The 15,944-nt window shown below is 45.7% G+C and overlaps 2 annotated features.

Annotated features, from left to right (window-relative positions):
* Positions 12,841–13,628: an enhancer, noted in NCBI's record as "OCT4-NANOG-H3K27ac hESC enhancer chr2:16120447-16121234 (GRCh37/hg19 assembly coordinates)". NCBI's record gives its function as "activates a minimal SCP1, AML or CMV promoter by ChIP-STARR-seq in primed H9 embryonic stem cells {active_cell/tissue: H9 hESC(primed)}" and the evidence as "EXISTENCE:reporter gene assay evidence [ECO:0000049][PMID:30033119]".
* Positions 13,103–13,397: a silencer, noted in NCBI's record as "tiled region #8208; HepG2 Repressive non-DNase unmatched - State 22:ReprW, and K562 Repressive non-DNase unmatched - State 21:Repr". NCBI's record gives its function as "represses a minimal TATA promoter and a strong SV40 promoter by Sharpr-MPRA in HepG2 and K562 cells {active_cell/tissue: HepG2 | K562}" and the evidence as "EXISTENCE:reporter gene assay evidence [ECO:0000049][PMID:27701403]".

Below are 15,944 nucleotides of genomic sequence, written 5' to 3' on the forward strand. Positions count from 1 at the left end.
TTCTTCTTCTTTTTTTAATTTTTATTTATTTATTTATTTTGAGATGGAATCTGTCTCTGTTGCTTAGGCTGGAGTGCGGTAGTGCCATCTGGACTCACTGCAACCTCTGCCTACTGGGTTTAAGCGATTCTCCTGCCTCAGCCTCTTGAGTGGCTGGGACTGTAGGCACCCACCATCACACCTGGCTAATTTTTGTATTTTTAGTAGAGACAGGGTTTCGCCATGTTGGCCAGGCTGGTCTCAAACTCCTGACCTCAGGTTACCCACCCGCCTTGGCCTCCCGAAGTGCTGAGATTACAGGCATGAGCCACTGCACCCGGCCTGCTTTCTTATTTTGCATAAATCACTCAAACTGGAGATCCGGCCCTGGCCATAAGCTAGGTCTCTTCAGCAACAGCCATTACTGACCAGCATGCATTCTCTTGCTCTCAGCCTCTCTTTGCTTAAATGCTTCTTGGACTAGAGAGTTAGCTGGACTTCCCTTTCAGTCAAAATCTATTGAGAACTTCGAAAAGTCCTGGGTGAGACAGAGTAGGGAGTATTTCCCTCTAACATCTTCCCTCTTTATCAACTGTCCCAACTTGCCTTATACCCTGGCCTTCCCAATTCCTGGGCCTAGGAAGGATGGCTGATGGGCCTATGTGCAGGCACTTCTCTTGCCCCTCCGTCCCTGGGTCCCCAGATGAGAGAGGAAAAATCAACATTAGAGATGCTGGATGTGACATTTTCTACTGTTTTAATGAATTCTTTTGATTCTTTTCTGGAGCTGTGAATCATGACTCATACCATGTGAAATGAAGCAGTCTGCATACCTTGAAATAGAGCGTGTTCTGTTTAACAAGAGGTCTCTACCTTGACTGCTGGTGAACTTGGAGGATGGTAGGAACAGAGTGCCTGGGGAGGGGAGTGGAGCAAAAGGGTAGCTGGAGCCTGGAACTAGAACAATGCACAATGTGTCTTTGGATTCCTCCCACAAAGAAACCAGGTGAGTCTGTGTTGGGCATGGTCTTTTTCAAGAGTGGTTAAATGAGGTTGCAAATTCATCATTACAGAATCTGAAACATGCACTGTTTTACCCAGAAATGTGTTTGATTGAAGTAGTCATGTTCCCGGGGTGGGGCGGGGGGACCAAAGGGAGGAGGATCTCACTGAAACTCTACTTTTTAATTTTTTTTTCCCTGTTTGAACAACTCCTCGCATTTGTACGGGGCCTTCCCCTTTGCAAAAGCCTTTCTGACATCAAATGGCTCCTGATCCTTTCTGTGCCACTTTGTGGCCAGCAGGGTGGGATTTACTCTGCATGCCACAGTTGAGGACAGCCAGGTGCAGATAGGTCATGTGACTTTTGGGAGCCAGTGGCAGGCCCAGGTTCACAGTCAGCCTCAGCCCACGCCCAGGGAGATTTCACCCCTGTTGTTGGGGTTTTCTCAAGGAATCTGCCCCTGTTCCTGCCTTTCTTTTACCTACTGGCCTCCCAGGTGCAACTGATCCCCATGAACTCTGGTCTGGGTGGGGACGACCAAAGAAGGCTTCTCTAGGTAGAGTCAATGCATAGTCTGGCAGGTGGGTCACAGGCTCTGAATCCTGCAACTGAGTCCCCACCCTGCCTCTTTCTAGCTTTGGGATCACAGCTATCATCATTTCTCCATGTTTCTTTTTCTCCATCTGTAAGGTGTAATGAAAGTTTTAGGTGATAATTGTGGACTTAGCATATCATATCAATTTCTCCTTAGATGGATGGCAAAAATGTCCATGACCATATTCTCCCCATAGAAGGTTCGTTTGCCTACATGGAAAATATGGGAAAATATGGGGTTTAGTGTAGTCCCCTTCATCAACAATCTCAGCTAGATCTTCTGGAGAACTTGCTGCAGCTTCTCCATCAGCAATTGCTGTTTCTCCTTGCACGTTTATGTTACGGAGACGGCTCCTTTCCTTAATCTCTTCCAACTTTTGTTTGCAGTTGTCTCACCCCTCTCAGCCTTCATAGAATTGAAGAGAGTTAGGGCCTTGCTCTGGTTTAGGTTTTGATTTAAGGGAATGTTGTGGCTGGTTTAATCTTCTATCCAAACCACTAAAACTTTCCCCATATCAGCAATAAGGCTGTTTAGCTTTCTTATCATTCATGTGTTCACTGGAGTAGCTCTTTTAATTTCCTTCAAAAACTTTTCCTTTGCATTCTCATCTGGTTTAACTATTTGGTGCAAAGGGTCTAGCTTTTGGCCTATCTCGGCTTTCAACATACTTGCCTCACTAAACTTAATCATTTCTAGCTTTTGACTTAAATGGAAAGATATGTGACTCTTCCTTTCACTTGAATGCTTACAGGTCATTGTGGGTTATTAGTTGGTCTCATTTTGATACTGTTGTGTTTCAGGGAATAGGGAGGCCTGAAGAGAGGGAGAGAGACAGAGAATGGCTGGTCAGCAGAGTGGTCAGAACATACTTATCAATTAAGTTTGCCACCTCATACGGGCATGGCTTGTGGACCCCAAAACAATTACAACAATAAAATCAGATCCCTGGCTGGGTAGGGTGGTTCACACCTGTAACCCCAGCACTTTGGGAGGCTGAGGCAGGCGGATCACCTCAGGTCAGGAGTTCGAGACCAGCCTGGCCAACGTGGTGAAACCCTGTCTCTACTAAAACTACAAAAATTAGCTGGGCATGGTGGCGGGCGCCTGTAATCCCAGCTACTCGGGAGGCTGAGGCATGAGAATCACTTGAACCTGGGAGGTGGAGGTTGCAGTGAGCTGAGATCGTGCCACTGCACTCCAGCCTGGGCAAGAGTGAGATTCTGTCTCAAAAAAAAAAAAAAAAAAAAAAAAAAAAAAAAAAAAAAATCCCTGATCACAAATCACCATAACAGTTATAATAGTAATGGAAATGTTTGAAATAGGGTTAGATTTTTTTTTGGTAATATTTACAATAATACCAAAATGTGACACAAAGACATGAAGTGAGCACGTGCTGTTGGAAGAATGGGGTCCATAGACTTGCTCCATGCAGAGCTGCCACAAACCTTCAATTTGTAAAGCATGAAGTATCTGTGAAATTTAATGAAGTGCAATAAAACGAGGTCTGGCTAGAGTGGACAGAAAGGGTGTTGCTCAGCTCTCACTAACCTTGAAACTCTTCGTCTTTTCTTTCTCTTTGTCTTTCCTTTCAATTTCCTGTCCTGTTTCCCGGTGCTATTCCCAGGTCCTGTCCAGTCTTCCCACACCTTTGGTCCCTTGCTGCCCCGATGCTCTTTCTCTCTTCTCTTTCATCTTCATCTGGCCAAGTTTAATCTCACGTCAAGGTTTCGCTCAAGCACAGCTTCCTTCAGTCCAAATGAGTATTTCTCGTTTGTGTCCTTTTTACAACTCATTAGTGTCATGGTAGCTGTACTTGTCCTCTGTTTCTCACTCTCCACTCGGGGCTCCTGGAGGCACAGGGATGCTACATTAGCCATCTTTGGGTCCTCCAGAGGCTTCACATGGGTGTTGAACATGTATTGTCAGTGGTTTGAAGAATATCACAACATCACCACCCAACCAAAATGATTTGCCCTTTAAGTAACCCAGGAACCAATTAGGATTCATCAGACCCATATTTGCAAGACAATTATTGTGTCTTGTAATGCATCATTGTGGATTATGATATTACCTTTGCCTAAATAAATACAATGGGGGAATTGGAGGCTTTTAAGAGTTCATGTCAACTTAAAATGAGATTATAAATAATTCTAAAAGCCCCACAACTTTATGACAGGGTGCTGGAAGAGCTATTGGGAATGAGGACGGAAACAAAATAAAACCCAAGCCAGGAGTGAAAGCGTACCCCAGACATCCTCCGTGACCCTTCCCCTGCCCAATTAGAAACTGATACAGCAGAAAAGACACGCTCACTCATAGGCTTCCAGATTCCTTTAACGCTGTTTCTCTGCTAAGGAGAGAGGAGAGGAAATAGCACCTTTGTGTGCTGTGGGCCCCACTGCAGAGGGGGCTGGTGGGGGGGCTCAGGACCCACGAGGGTCAGGAGGGAAGAAGGAATTCCCCATGCAGAGACCTCCAGCAGCGCACCAGACAGGACCCTGATTCTGGATGGCAACCCACTCTGTGCTTTTGGCAGAAGCTGTTCAAGCCCTGCGTTGGTCTAGGAATCAAGATATATGGGTCTTAATCCATGCTCTGTGGTGAATTCAGCTTCTGCGGCCAAGCAGCCACCAAGCCTCTCTGGGACTTGCTTTCCTCATCAGCCCTCGCCCTGGGGCACACCTGTCCATGCCAACCACTGCACTGGGCATGGGGGATGCAGAGATGAGTCCAGCATGAACCCTTTCCTGAAGGTCTGGGAGTTCAGACTTTGCAGGCAGCAAGTGAGAGGGAGAACTCCCTGGAGGAAGCTGCACGAGCTGAGTGTTTACAGATAAGGAGATATTCAGGTTTGGAAAAGCAGTATCAAACAAAAGCATTCTAGGCTGGGTGTGGTGGCTCATGCCTATAATCCTAGGACCTTGGGAGATGAAGGTGGGTGGATCCCTTGAGCCAGGAGTTCAAGGCCAGTCTCGGCAACATGGCGAGACCCCATCTACAAAAAACAAAAAAATGAGCCAAGCCTGGTGGTGTGTGCCTGTGGTCCCAGCTACTTGGGAGGCTAAAGTGGGAGTATCCATTAAGCCTGTGAGATTGTGGCTGCAGTGAACCATGATCGTGCTACTGCACTCCAGCCTGGGTGACACAGCAAGACTCTGTCTCAGAAACAAAAACAAACACAAAAAAGCAGAGACGCTTCAGAACGCAGGAAAAGTACAAACAAAGGTTTGGAGATATTTAAGCAACTCTTGTTTGCATGGAAACTGCAGGTTATATAAAGGTAGAGAAGGATGGAAAATGGGACTAATTTGGGGCTCAGGTTTTTGAAAAAAGGAATATTAGAATGGTCTGTGGATATCAATGCATTATATGGAACAAATGATAGGGTGGATATAATAATGCTTTAACATTTGTAAAATACTATGCAAATGCGATGTTGATTGCCAAAACACACACACACACACAACTGCGATCTGTGAGCTACTGGTATTGTTAGCAAAACATTGTTATTCTTTGAAACTCCTTTATCTGTGCATTTCTCCATAATTTTTCTGGGTTAATTTCATACATATATTGTTTTTCAGCTAATATTTGGCTTCTGCCATCATAGTCCCCAGTCAGGGCTCACTTTGTAGTTTTCTCCATAATGAGTCCAGTGGGTTCGGGAAACAGGAGTGAAGGTAAGTGTTGCTGGAGAAACTGTGAGATGCTTCTGCTGAAAGCAATCATGCCCATTGAAAGACTTGCTTACAGAGAGACACAAGAAGGGGCTTTGACCTACACTAAGTAGAGAAAAAACTCACCTTTGCATTTCCTGGGTGGTGTAGCACAGGAAAGAGTATGGGAAAGTAAAGGAAAGAATCTCTGTTTTGCCAGTGGTTTGCTGCATAACCTAGGCTGGTCACTTCCTATCTCTAAGAGTCAGGTTTTTTTGGTTGTTGTTTTTTTGTTTTGTTTTGTTTTTGAGACAGGGTCTCTATTTGTCACCCAGGCTGGCAAGCTGTGGCATGATCTTAGCTCACTGTGAACTCTGCCTCCCAGGTTTAAGTGATTCTGCTGCCTCAGCCTCCCAGTAGGTGAGATTACAGGCGCCCACCACCACGCCAGGCTGATTTTTGTATTTTTAGTAGAGACAGAGTTTCACCATGTTGGCCAGGCTGGTCACGAACTCCTGACCTCAGGTGATCCACCTACCTTGGCCTCCCAAAATGTTGGGATTACAGGCATGAGCCACCGTGCCTGGCCCTGAGCATCTGTTTTTACATCTTCAGTATATCGAGATGTTGCAGTCTCTGATGTCCCTTAGAAATAGAGTCAAAACTTTAAAAGTTTGGAGTAGCCCTTTGTTGCTCAGCCTGCTGCATTTGTGTCTCCTCAGGGCCCTGGAGCCTCTCATGAACCTGCCATTAGCCAGTTACTGAGTGCTCACTGTCACATGTAGTGGCAGAGTTAAGCTGAGCATGGCGAGGTGGAAGGGACATTCATTCTGCTGCATTCACAGGGGATGGGTTTCAGTTGTTCTAGCCACTAACTGTATGTGTCACTTTAGGGGAAGCTAAGAAAACTCCCTGAGACTCAAGTTTCCACATTTGTCAAATGGAGATAATAAGACTTTGCTTTATCTTGATCTGCATCTTGAATCTTCTTGCTATTTTGGTCCCAGCTGGTTGGCAGATCTGAAACTTCGGTCCTCCTGCCTGGCAGGCCTGTTATCTCTTTTCACCATTGTCATATCTCATAAGATGTCCTGACTCCTGGCAACATTTTGTCCATCTTGACCTGTCTTTAGTTGTTTTGAAAATGATATAACTGCCAAGACTCCCCTCTCCCACCCCTTTTTGGTGTTCCTATAACCTTCCAGATGTTGGGCGAGGCAATTTATATAAAGGTCTGAAAGATTGCTTGGAATTTTTCCATTTGACAGATAAGAAAACCATATTTCAAAGAAATTCAATCGCTTTCCTTAGGAAGATGTCTTGACTTGAAAGCCTGAGCTCTTTCCACTATTCTTCACTGTTTCAACCAAGCTGGAGAAAAACTGTGACCATTACATTGTGTTTTAGCCCCACACAGAGCAACAGTTCCACAGGCAGGCTTTGTTTAGCGCCGTCGAGATGGGCCTGGAAGAGTTGCAAATGCATTTTTAAAGTAAATCAAATCCTATTTTTAGTACCCTAAGGGAGCACATTCTGTAAAGGAAGAGTCTCTAGTAAATCCTTCCATGAAGTGAGTATTTTTTTCCCTACAAGTTTAACAATATCTGTCTAATTCATCTGCTTTCTAGACTGGGACTCTTATGCACATTTTTTTTTTTTTCTCTCAAATGGAGTCCTGCAGGTATTTGTCCAACATTTGGTCTTTATTCTTCATAAAATGATAGCAGGAATGATGCTTTGAAGGATTTAAACAAGTACATAATATTGCAATTTTACAACTGAAGGTAAGTTCGTGTTGAAATAATGTAAACGTTGTATTCAAGACTATTTATGCTCTCGGAAAGCTTCTCTTTCTAGCCATATTTTCTACCTTGCTTAACATACCTTCTGTTTCAGGCATCATGTTCCGTATTCTCTTCCAAAAGGTCCCTCCTCTCTGCACCTGTGCTCACTGGGATTTCTTCCCTTTGAATTCTCCTGATTTCCACACCACCTCTTCAATGTAGTGGGCACACTCACACACACACCCCTCTCATTCACACATACTCCTAACACACAACAGTGCCCAAGTCCTACAGATCTGCAGCGTTCAATATAGTAGCCAGTAGCCACATTTGGCTATTCAAAGTTAGTTAAAGTTAAATAAAATATCAATCAATGAATAGATAAACAAAATGTGGTAAATACATCAATAGATTATTATTCAGCCTCAGAAAGGAAGGACATTTGAATACTACAAGCAGATGAACCTTGAAAACGGCTTAATAAGTAAAATAAGACAGACTCAAAGGGACAAATACTGTGTGATTTCACTTATATGAGCTACCTAGAATAGGCAAACTCATATACACAAAGAGAGAGAGAAAGTAGACCAGCGTTTCCAGGGTCTGGGGGTAGGAGGAATGGGAAGTTGTTTAATGACAAGCTTGTCCAACCCGAGGCCCAGGACAGCTTTGAATGTGGCCCAACACAAATTTGTTAGCTTTCTTCAAACATTATGAGATTTTTTTTTAAAAGCTCATCAGCTATCATTAGTGTTAGTGTATTTTATGTGTGGCCCAAGACAATTCCTCTCCCAATGTGCCCAGGGAAGCCACAAGATTGAACACCCCTATAAATGGGTACAAAGTTTCAATTTGGGATGTCGAAAACATTCTAGAAATGGGTAATGGTGATGGTTGCGCAACTTTGTGGGTATACTTAATGCCAATGAATTGTACACTTAAAGATGGTTAAAATGGTAAATTTTATGTTACGCATATTTTACCACAAAAAAATTTAAAAAATTAAATAAAAGATACAATTCAGTTCTTCAGTCACACTAGCTACATTTCAAATGTTCAACAGCCACATCTGACTAATGGCCAGCAAATTGTTCAGAGCAGATAGAGACCTTCTCCATCATTGTGGAAGGTTCTAGAGGACAAAGCTGTCCTGATTCTTCTGGGCCCACTGATGTTTTGTTCCTCAAAGCTCCAATGAGCAGTGATTACTCCCTGCTCGGAATTCTTGTAATTATTCGTTCTGAGGCCTTTCAAGGTCTTATTGTATTCTGCATTGTATTTCAAGCTAATATGTGGTCAGCTGATTTCCTGACAAAATTGTAAGTGGGTGGAGGGCAGGGAAGAAGTTTCCAGTTTCTAGGTGTGCTCATCCTGCCCCACCCTCCAGTGTTTTGCAGACTAATCAGCGCGAATCAAACAGGTATCTGTGTATGAATGGATGAGACAAGAAGACCTGACAACAAACATTTCCTGCTATGGTCTTATCTGGGAGTGTTACCCCATCTGATGTATTTCAGAAGCCACTCGAAGAAGACATAGTTGTCTTCCATGTCTAAATTCCTCTCACAACTCTTGGGGCATAAATTAGCTGTCTTCTGTGAGCTCCTTTGGGACTGAAAGGCATGCTCCCTGGGAACTTTTGTAAATTAGATAGAAATTTGTCCTATGGATGTGTGAAGTCACTTCTCAGCTAATCATTGAAGGGAGCTGCCAAAGCCTTTCTTTCAAAAACAAATGGCAAAGTTGCTCTGTTTTTCATAACACAAACCCTTTTGCAACAAATAGAGTCCTCTTCTGGTCATTATCTTGTCATTAGAACCTCTGGCTAGATTTATTTCCCTATAAAATAAACCTAAGACCTTATTCATAAAGAAGAAAATGCAAACACGAGCTTGACCACTATCAAAGAGACCCAGTGTAAAAAGAGCTTTCTTTTGCCTCTTGAGTTCGATGATGAGATCTTGTGGCCAGACAACATTTTTTGACTGGTAAGAGCAGAAACTACCCTCCTGAGTTACTGTTTAGTGAATGAGGGCCTTTGTTTCCCACAGAAGAATTAAAAACCTATGGGGCTCCCCCGTGCAAACAGGAGTACGTTTCACACAGCGATGTTGGGATTAAATGCCTGTACCATGAAACAAGCCAGAACAATGCCTACTCACGTTTTAATCATTCACCTGGCATTCCACGGGAGGCAGTTTCACCTAAAACTAGATTAGGTGAAGAGTGACTTCTCCCAAGCACTTTTTCTCTGCAACTCTTGGATCTTTTTTTTGTATCCCCAAGTGGAAAGTAAAGAAAAACTGCCCATTTTTCTACCAGTCAAATTTGAAGATAGCAACATAGTCTCTGGGACCTGGAAGAGGCTTCTTGCCCATGCCAGAGAGGGTGTGGTTCAATCCCATCATTTTGAAGGTCAGGAAAGTGAAGCTGGGAAAAAAGTGACTTGTCTAGAGTCATACATGGAGCAGGAGCAAAGCTGAAATGAGAACGGCCACTCCTGACTCCAGCATAGCATTTTTTTCTTCTGTAACACTTGGCCATGTCTCACATTTCTCACACTCAAAATGATACTCTCCTTGTTTTTGTTTTTTTGAGATGGGGTTTCACTCTTGTAGCACAGACTGTAGTGCAACGGCGCAATCTCAGCTCACTGCAACCTCCGCCTCCCAGGTTCAAGCAATTCTCCTGCCTCAGCCTCCCAAGTAGCTGGGATTACACGCGTGCATCACCACCCCCAGCTAATTTTGTGTTTTTAGTAGAGACGGGGTTTCACCATGCTGGTCAGGCTAGTCTTGAACTTTTGACCTCAAGTGATCCTCAATATCGGCTCATTGCAACCTCTGCCCGCCGGGTTCAAACGATTCTCCTGCCTCAGCCTCCCGAGTAGCTGAGATTACAGGCATGCACCACCACAACCAGCTAATTTTGTATTTTTAGTAGAGATGGGTTTCACCATGCTGGTCAGGCTGGTCTTGAACTCCTGACCTCAAGTCATCCGCCCACCTCAGCCTCCCAAAGTGCTGGGATTACAGGTGTGAGCCACCAGGCGCCTGGCCTTTGATACTCTCCTTCCTTAAATGATTCATGACATCCGTTAAGAAGCTCAGGGAATCTCTCTGAACCTGCTCTCGTTCAGCGGCTGCCCATAAAAAAAATTAAAAAATAATTTTCTTTAAAAAAAGAAGCTCAGTGGTCGGGCACAGTGGTTCACGCCTGTAATCCCAGCACTTTGGGAGGCCAAGGCGGGTGGATCACAAGGTCAAGAGATTGAGACCATCCTGGCTAACACGGTGAAACCCTGTCTCTACTAAAAATACAAAAAATTAGCCGGGCGTGGTGGCGCACACCTGTAGTCCCAGCTACTCGGGAGGCTGAAGCAGAAGAATGGCATGGACCTGGGAGGCGGAGGTTGCAGTGAGCCGAGATTGTGCCACTGCACTCCAGCCTGGGCAACAGAGTGAGACTCTGTCTTAAAAAAAAAAAAAAGAAGCTCAATCCATGGCAAAGAATTAATGTACTAAGATGGAAGAGTGCAGCCCCGGAAATCCTACTGCGTTCCCTCCTTGGTCTGCCATCGGTTTGCTGGGTGACCTGGAACCAGACACTGTTTCCTCTGTGTCTTCTTTTCTTCTCTGCTATAAGGAGAACACTGCCAGTCTCATGGGCTTATTAGGATAAAACAAGATAATAGATGGGAAAGTGCTGCGAAAAGCCAAAAGTGCTAAGCAAATGCAAAGTATAATATCCATATGAAAACTGCTGTTTTGCTCAATGTAAAAGAGGGGAAGATGGTGAAAAGCACCAAGAGGTGCTCCCAGAAGGAAGAATTCAATTTATAGTCAGAGCAGTTTCTTAGAGATGAAACTGGTCCAAGATAGATTGTCCAAAGCCAGACGGAGACTGGAACTGAGATGTTTGGCAAAAGGTCCTAACAATGACTGTGGTCAAAGGTGACCTGAGAAAATGAGGTAAGCAGGAGAGTGTGCTGCCTGGACTTAGTGTAGTGAGAAGAGTATCGAATCCCAGTTTCACCAGGTACCAGCTGCATCTCTTGACTGGCCACTTACCCTCTCTGTGCCTTGGTTTATCCTTTGTAAAACAGGCCCCCTGATATCCGCTGGGAGGCAGATCAGAATCATCTATTTGAAAGCCCTTTGCAAACTGGGAGTAGCAAATGGAGGTGACCCAGGTCAGGAAGAAAGGGAGCCTGGGATTTATTTTGAGCCCAGATGGTGTGTGATGGCAGGCAAGGTACCAGGCCTCAGTTTCCCACTTTAAATAAGAGGACATAAAATATGGTGTGGGTTTTTTTTTTTTTTTTTTTGAAAAGGAGTCTCACTGTCACCCAGGCTAGAGTGCAGTGGCACAATCTCGGCTCACTGCAACCTCTGCCTCCCAGGTTCAAACGATTCCCCTGCCTTAACCTCCCAAGTAGCTGGGATTACAGGCGCCTGCCACCACGCCCAACTAATTTTTGTTCTTTTAGTAGAGACAAGGTTTCACCATGTTGCCCAGGCTGGTATCGAACTCCTGACCTCAAGTGATCCACCTACCTCGGCCTCCCAAAGTGCTGGGATAACAGGCATGAGCCACCACGCCCAGCCAAAAATGGTGTTTTGAGGGAAAGAGATGAGGAGGACTTGGTGGATGAGGAGGTAGAGAGAGAAACTCAAACTCTATAACCGTGGTGTTCTCCCTCCCCTGCTCTTCAGGACACACTGCAAGTTCCTGGGGATGACTAGAACCCCACAGCAGCAGTTAACTGTGGGGAAGGCCAGTTTCCTCCGTGCTAGGAGGATGCCCCGGCAGGGTGTGTGAGAGAACATGGAAGCCACTGTGTGCTTTCTTTCCCTTTTTACAGCCTGGGAACCTGGGGAAAGCTTCCCTCCCTGTGTAATAGAATGCATGTGATGGCATTTCAGGACCAAAAGGGTCCTCACAGGTCAGCTAGTCCAACTGTCTGTCTGATGCTTGGCGTCCCTGTGAGGTCCCCAGCAGGCCCCAGACAGGAACGTCACCTTCCAAGTGATGTTAAGTACTGACTAGTCCAATACTGACTACAAAAGAAGTTTATTTTTATTTTTGAAAAGTGTCCAGGTGCCAAAGATTCACAGACTTTTCTTTCCGTTTTTTTTTTCTTTCTTTTCTTTTCTTTCTTTCTCTCTTTTTTTTTTAAGAGACAGGGTCTCATTATGCTGCCCGGGCTGGTCTCAAACTCCTGGGCTCAAGCAATCCTCCTACTTCAGCTTCCTAAAGTGGTAGGATTGCAGTTTTGAGCCACCAAGCCCAGCCAGACTTTTTTTTCTTCCTCTTCTTATTTTTTTGGAGACAAGGTCTTCCTTTGTTGCCAAGGCTGAAGTGCAGTGGCACAGTCACGGCTCACTGCAACCTCTGCCTCCTGGTCTCAAGCCATCCTCCCACCTCAGCCTCCCGAGTAGCTGGGACCACAGGTGTGCACCACCACGCCTGGCTAATTTTTGTATTTTTTTTAGTAGAGATGGGGTTTCGGCATGTTGACCAAGCTGGTCTTGAATTCCTGGGCTCAAGTGATCCTCCCACCTCGGCTTCCAGAAGTGCTGGAATTAACAGGCATAAGACTTCGCACCTGGACAGAATTTTCTTTATCTAAAATGGTTTGCTCATATCCTCATCTCACAGACACTGTGTATCTACTTACACCATTCATTAAATAACAGTAACAACAACAAATACCTCAAGCACTTATTATGTGCCCCACACTGTCTTAAGTGCTTTATGGATCTTAATTCATTCATCACAATGACCCTAGGAGGGGCCTATTGTTCTATTTTTATCCTTATTTTACAGAAGAAGAAACCAGAGCACAGAGAGGTTAAGTCTTTCACTAAAAGTCACACAGCTAGTAGACTTTGGGGCCAGGATTCAAATACAGGCAAACCACAGGTCTTGACCCCTATGCATGTGGCTTGCCCTGATCACCACAGGGTGTGGGATGCCTTTATCCGCTAGCACTTTCAAAGGTCATTTTCAAATGGCCTTTAGCACTTTCTGCCTTGTATGAAGCCTCGGTATCTGGGATTTCACCTTCTCGGGGTCAACCATTCCAAAGCCCCACTGGAAGTCCCAGCCCTGTGGACGTGGTATTTGGTGGCGATAGCCGATCTGAATTGTGAGCCGGCCCAGCCCAGCGCAACATTTGCATCTCAAAGAAGCTCTGTGATTTTCTCGAGATTCCAAACACAGTAACTGCGGGGAGGGCCCCATGGTATTTGCAAGGTTGAGAGTTTGCAAATGCCTGGAGGCTGACCCCTGGATCTCCTTCACCCCGGAGACCGACCAGCACACCATCTAACTCAGTGCCTTTCACATCGTATTCAGTCTGAGAAACAGTTTTGGTGTTTTGTTTTTTCCTACCGTGTGCAAGACAACAGATGTTTGGTGACTGCATGAAAGAAAAATTTTTTTCTTTTCTTTCATTTTATTTATTTATTTATTATTGTTATTATTTGAGACAGAGTCTTGCTCTGTTGCCCAGGCTGGAGCGCAGTGGCACGAACTCGGCTCACAGTAACCTCTGCCTCCCAGGTTCAAGTGATTCTCCTGCCTCAGCCTCCCGAGTAGCTGGGATTACAGGCACACACAACCACGCCCAGCTAATTTTTTATTTTTAGTAGAGATGGGGTTTCACCATGTAGGCCAGGCTGGTCTCAAGCTCCTGACCTCAGGTGATCCACCCACCTTGGCCTCCCAAAGTGCTGAGATTACAAGTGTGAGCCACCACGCGCGGCCAGAAAATTTCATTTCTGAGGAAATGACATATTGGACCTTATTGGCTCTCAAAGACAGAAAAGATGTCCAGTTCTTTTGTTTTGTTTTGTTTTGTTTTGTTTTTCAGACGGAGTTTCGCTCTTGTTGCCCAGGCTGGAGTGCGATGATGCAATCTCGGCTCACTGCAACCTCTACCTCCCAGGTTCAAGCAATTCTCTGCCTCAGCCTCCCGAGTAGCTGGGATTACAGGCATGCGCCACCATACCCAGCTAATTTTTTGTATTTAGTAGAGACAGGGTTTCACCATGTTGGTCAGGCTGGTCTTGAACTCCTGACCTCAGGTGATCCATCTGCCTTGGCCTCTCAAAGTGCTGGGATTACAGGCGTGAGCCACCGCGCCCGGCGTCCAGCTCCTTCTTTTCCTCACCCGTATCTCCCATGAATCTTGTGACTCTAGTACCAGACAGGCCTCAGTACCATGCTCTGTGTCCTGTTCCATCTCCCTGGATGCTGTCACTCCAGTCTCTGTTCAGGAAATCCTACTCTTCCCTCCAGGATCGGCTCTCCTGTTAACCCCATGAAGGCTTCCCAGACCCCCAATGGAACAACCTGCCGCCCCCCCATGCTCCCCTTCCTGTAGAACTGGGTGCTGTGCGCAGGTCAGCACCTTGTCCCTCAGGTGTCTCTTGGGTCCCTAGGAGTCCCCTGGGTCCCACCTGCTCCCTGTATCCCTCCACAGTGCCTAGCCCAATACATAGCTCACAGGTGGGCTCAATTCAGGTTGAACCCAATCCAGAGAAAACCAATTGAAATACATCTAATTTAAGCTTTGCTCTGTCACAGGACTGTGGGATGGGAAGAAGTGATCGCCTCTTCGGCCCAGATTCCAGGTAAATACGTTCTTCCATTTCAAAAGGCTCCCTCACTGGTCCTGGAGAGGGGAAGTAGAGCTGCTCGCCCACTTGGGCTAGCGATGGAGCTTATGAATTCGGAGTTTTCATTCCACCTGGATCTAGGAAGTCTTTTTTAAGAGTCTACTGCGCCAGATAATCTCTGTTCCCCACAAGCCATTCTCTTCTGTGCCTCTAAAGGATAAAGATCTATTTGTCTCTGTGTGTATGTTACAAAAAATGAATGGGGATTTAATTACAGCAGCTCATTTCCTAAAAGGAAGTCCTATTTACGATGCACCATATGTTTTGCCAGCGGCCGTACCCCTGAGGGCTGGAGTCTTGTCAGATCTCCTTAGATAAGCAGGGTTGGGCTGCTTTGGCCTGGACTGGGCCAGGGACCTGGGAGGACAGGCAGAAGGATCCAGGAAGTGAGGAGGGGGACAAAGGTAGGTTTCCAGCCACACCCCGAGCCCAGACCACTGGAGAGCATCAGTCAGCAACCAGGGAAGGCCTCCCTTGCTTCAGAGAAGGTGGATTCAGAGGCTCAGACAATTTGTGATGATTAAAATCGCCTGGCTTTTTTCATCTACTAAAGTGGCTCTTGAGGGGGAGAGAGTCTCTCTGATCCTTCCTTTCGTGGTTTTAATTCCCCCTCTGCCACTTCTGAGCCGGTGCAGATGGCTTCCTGGAGTTCTGAGAACCTTCTAGCAAGGGATGCCGGGCAGGCAAGGGGAGCAGGGAGCTGAGGAGGGGGCTTGGCTCAGTTCTAGTACTCACTCCTTCTTTTAATTGTCTACTATGTTTTCTCTTTCATGGGGCCTACGATTTTAGAGGCCAGGAAGCTGAGGAAGGGCTGTTCAGTACTTCTTAGCTGTAGTTGAATGCAGTTGCTGGAACCTGCTAGTATTTGACACAGCTTAGGAGATTTATCTCAGTCTTACCTTTTCTCTTCTTCCTTTCCAACGTGTTCTGATTCTCTTGCCTCCTCTCTCTGTCTCGCTTTTTAAACTCCATCCCCAGAAAAGTGGTGAACGCCTTCTCCCCGCATGCTGCTTGGAGTGTAGACTGTGAATTTCCCGTGCCAGCTACAATGTCACTGGCTATGATCTCCAGTGGTGGAGGTGGACACCAGAACCTTAGAGTGTCCCTTCCAGCTCCTACACTCCATCAGGTCAATCAGCAGGCAGTCCATTTTTTTCTGCTAAAAGGGTCTGGCCACCTGTGGAGGACACCCACCTGCTCTGAAGCAGGAAGGAACCAGGCAAAGCCAAGAGAAATCAAGCG

The sequence above is a fragment of the Homo sapiens genome, chromosome 2, assembly GCF_000001405.40.
Source record: "Homo sapiens chromosome 2, GRCh38.p14 Primary Assembly".
Taxonomy (NCBI): domain Eukaryota; kingdom Metazoa; phylum Chordata; class Mammalia; order Primates; family Hominidae; genus Homo; species Homo sapiens.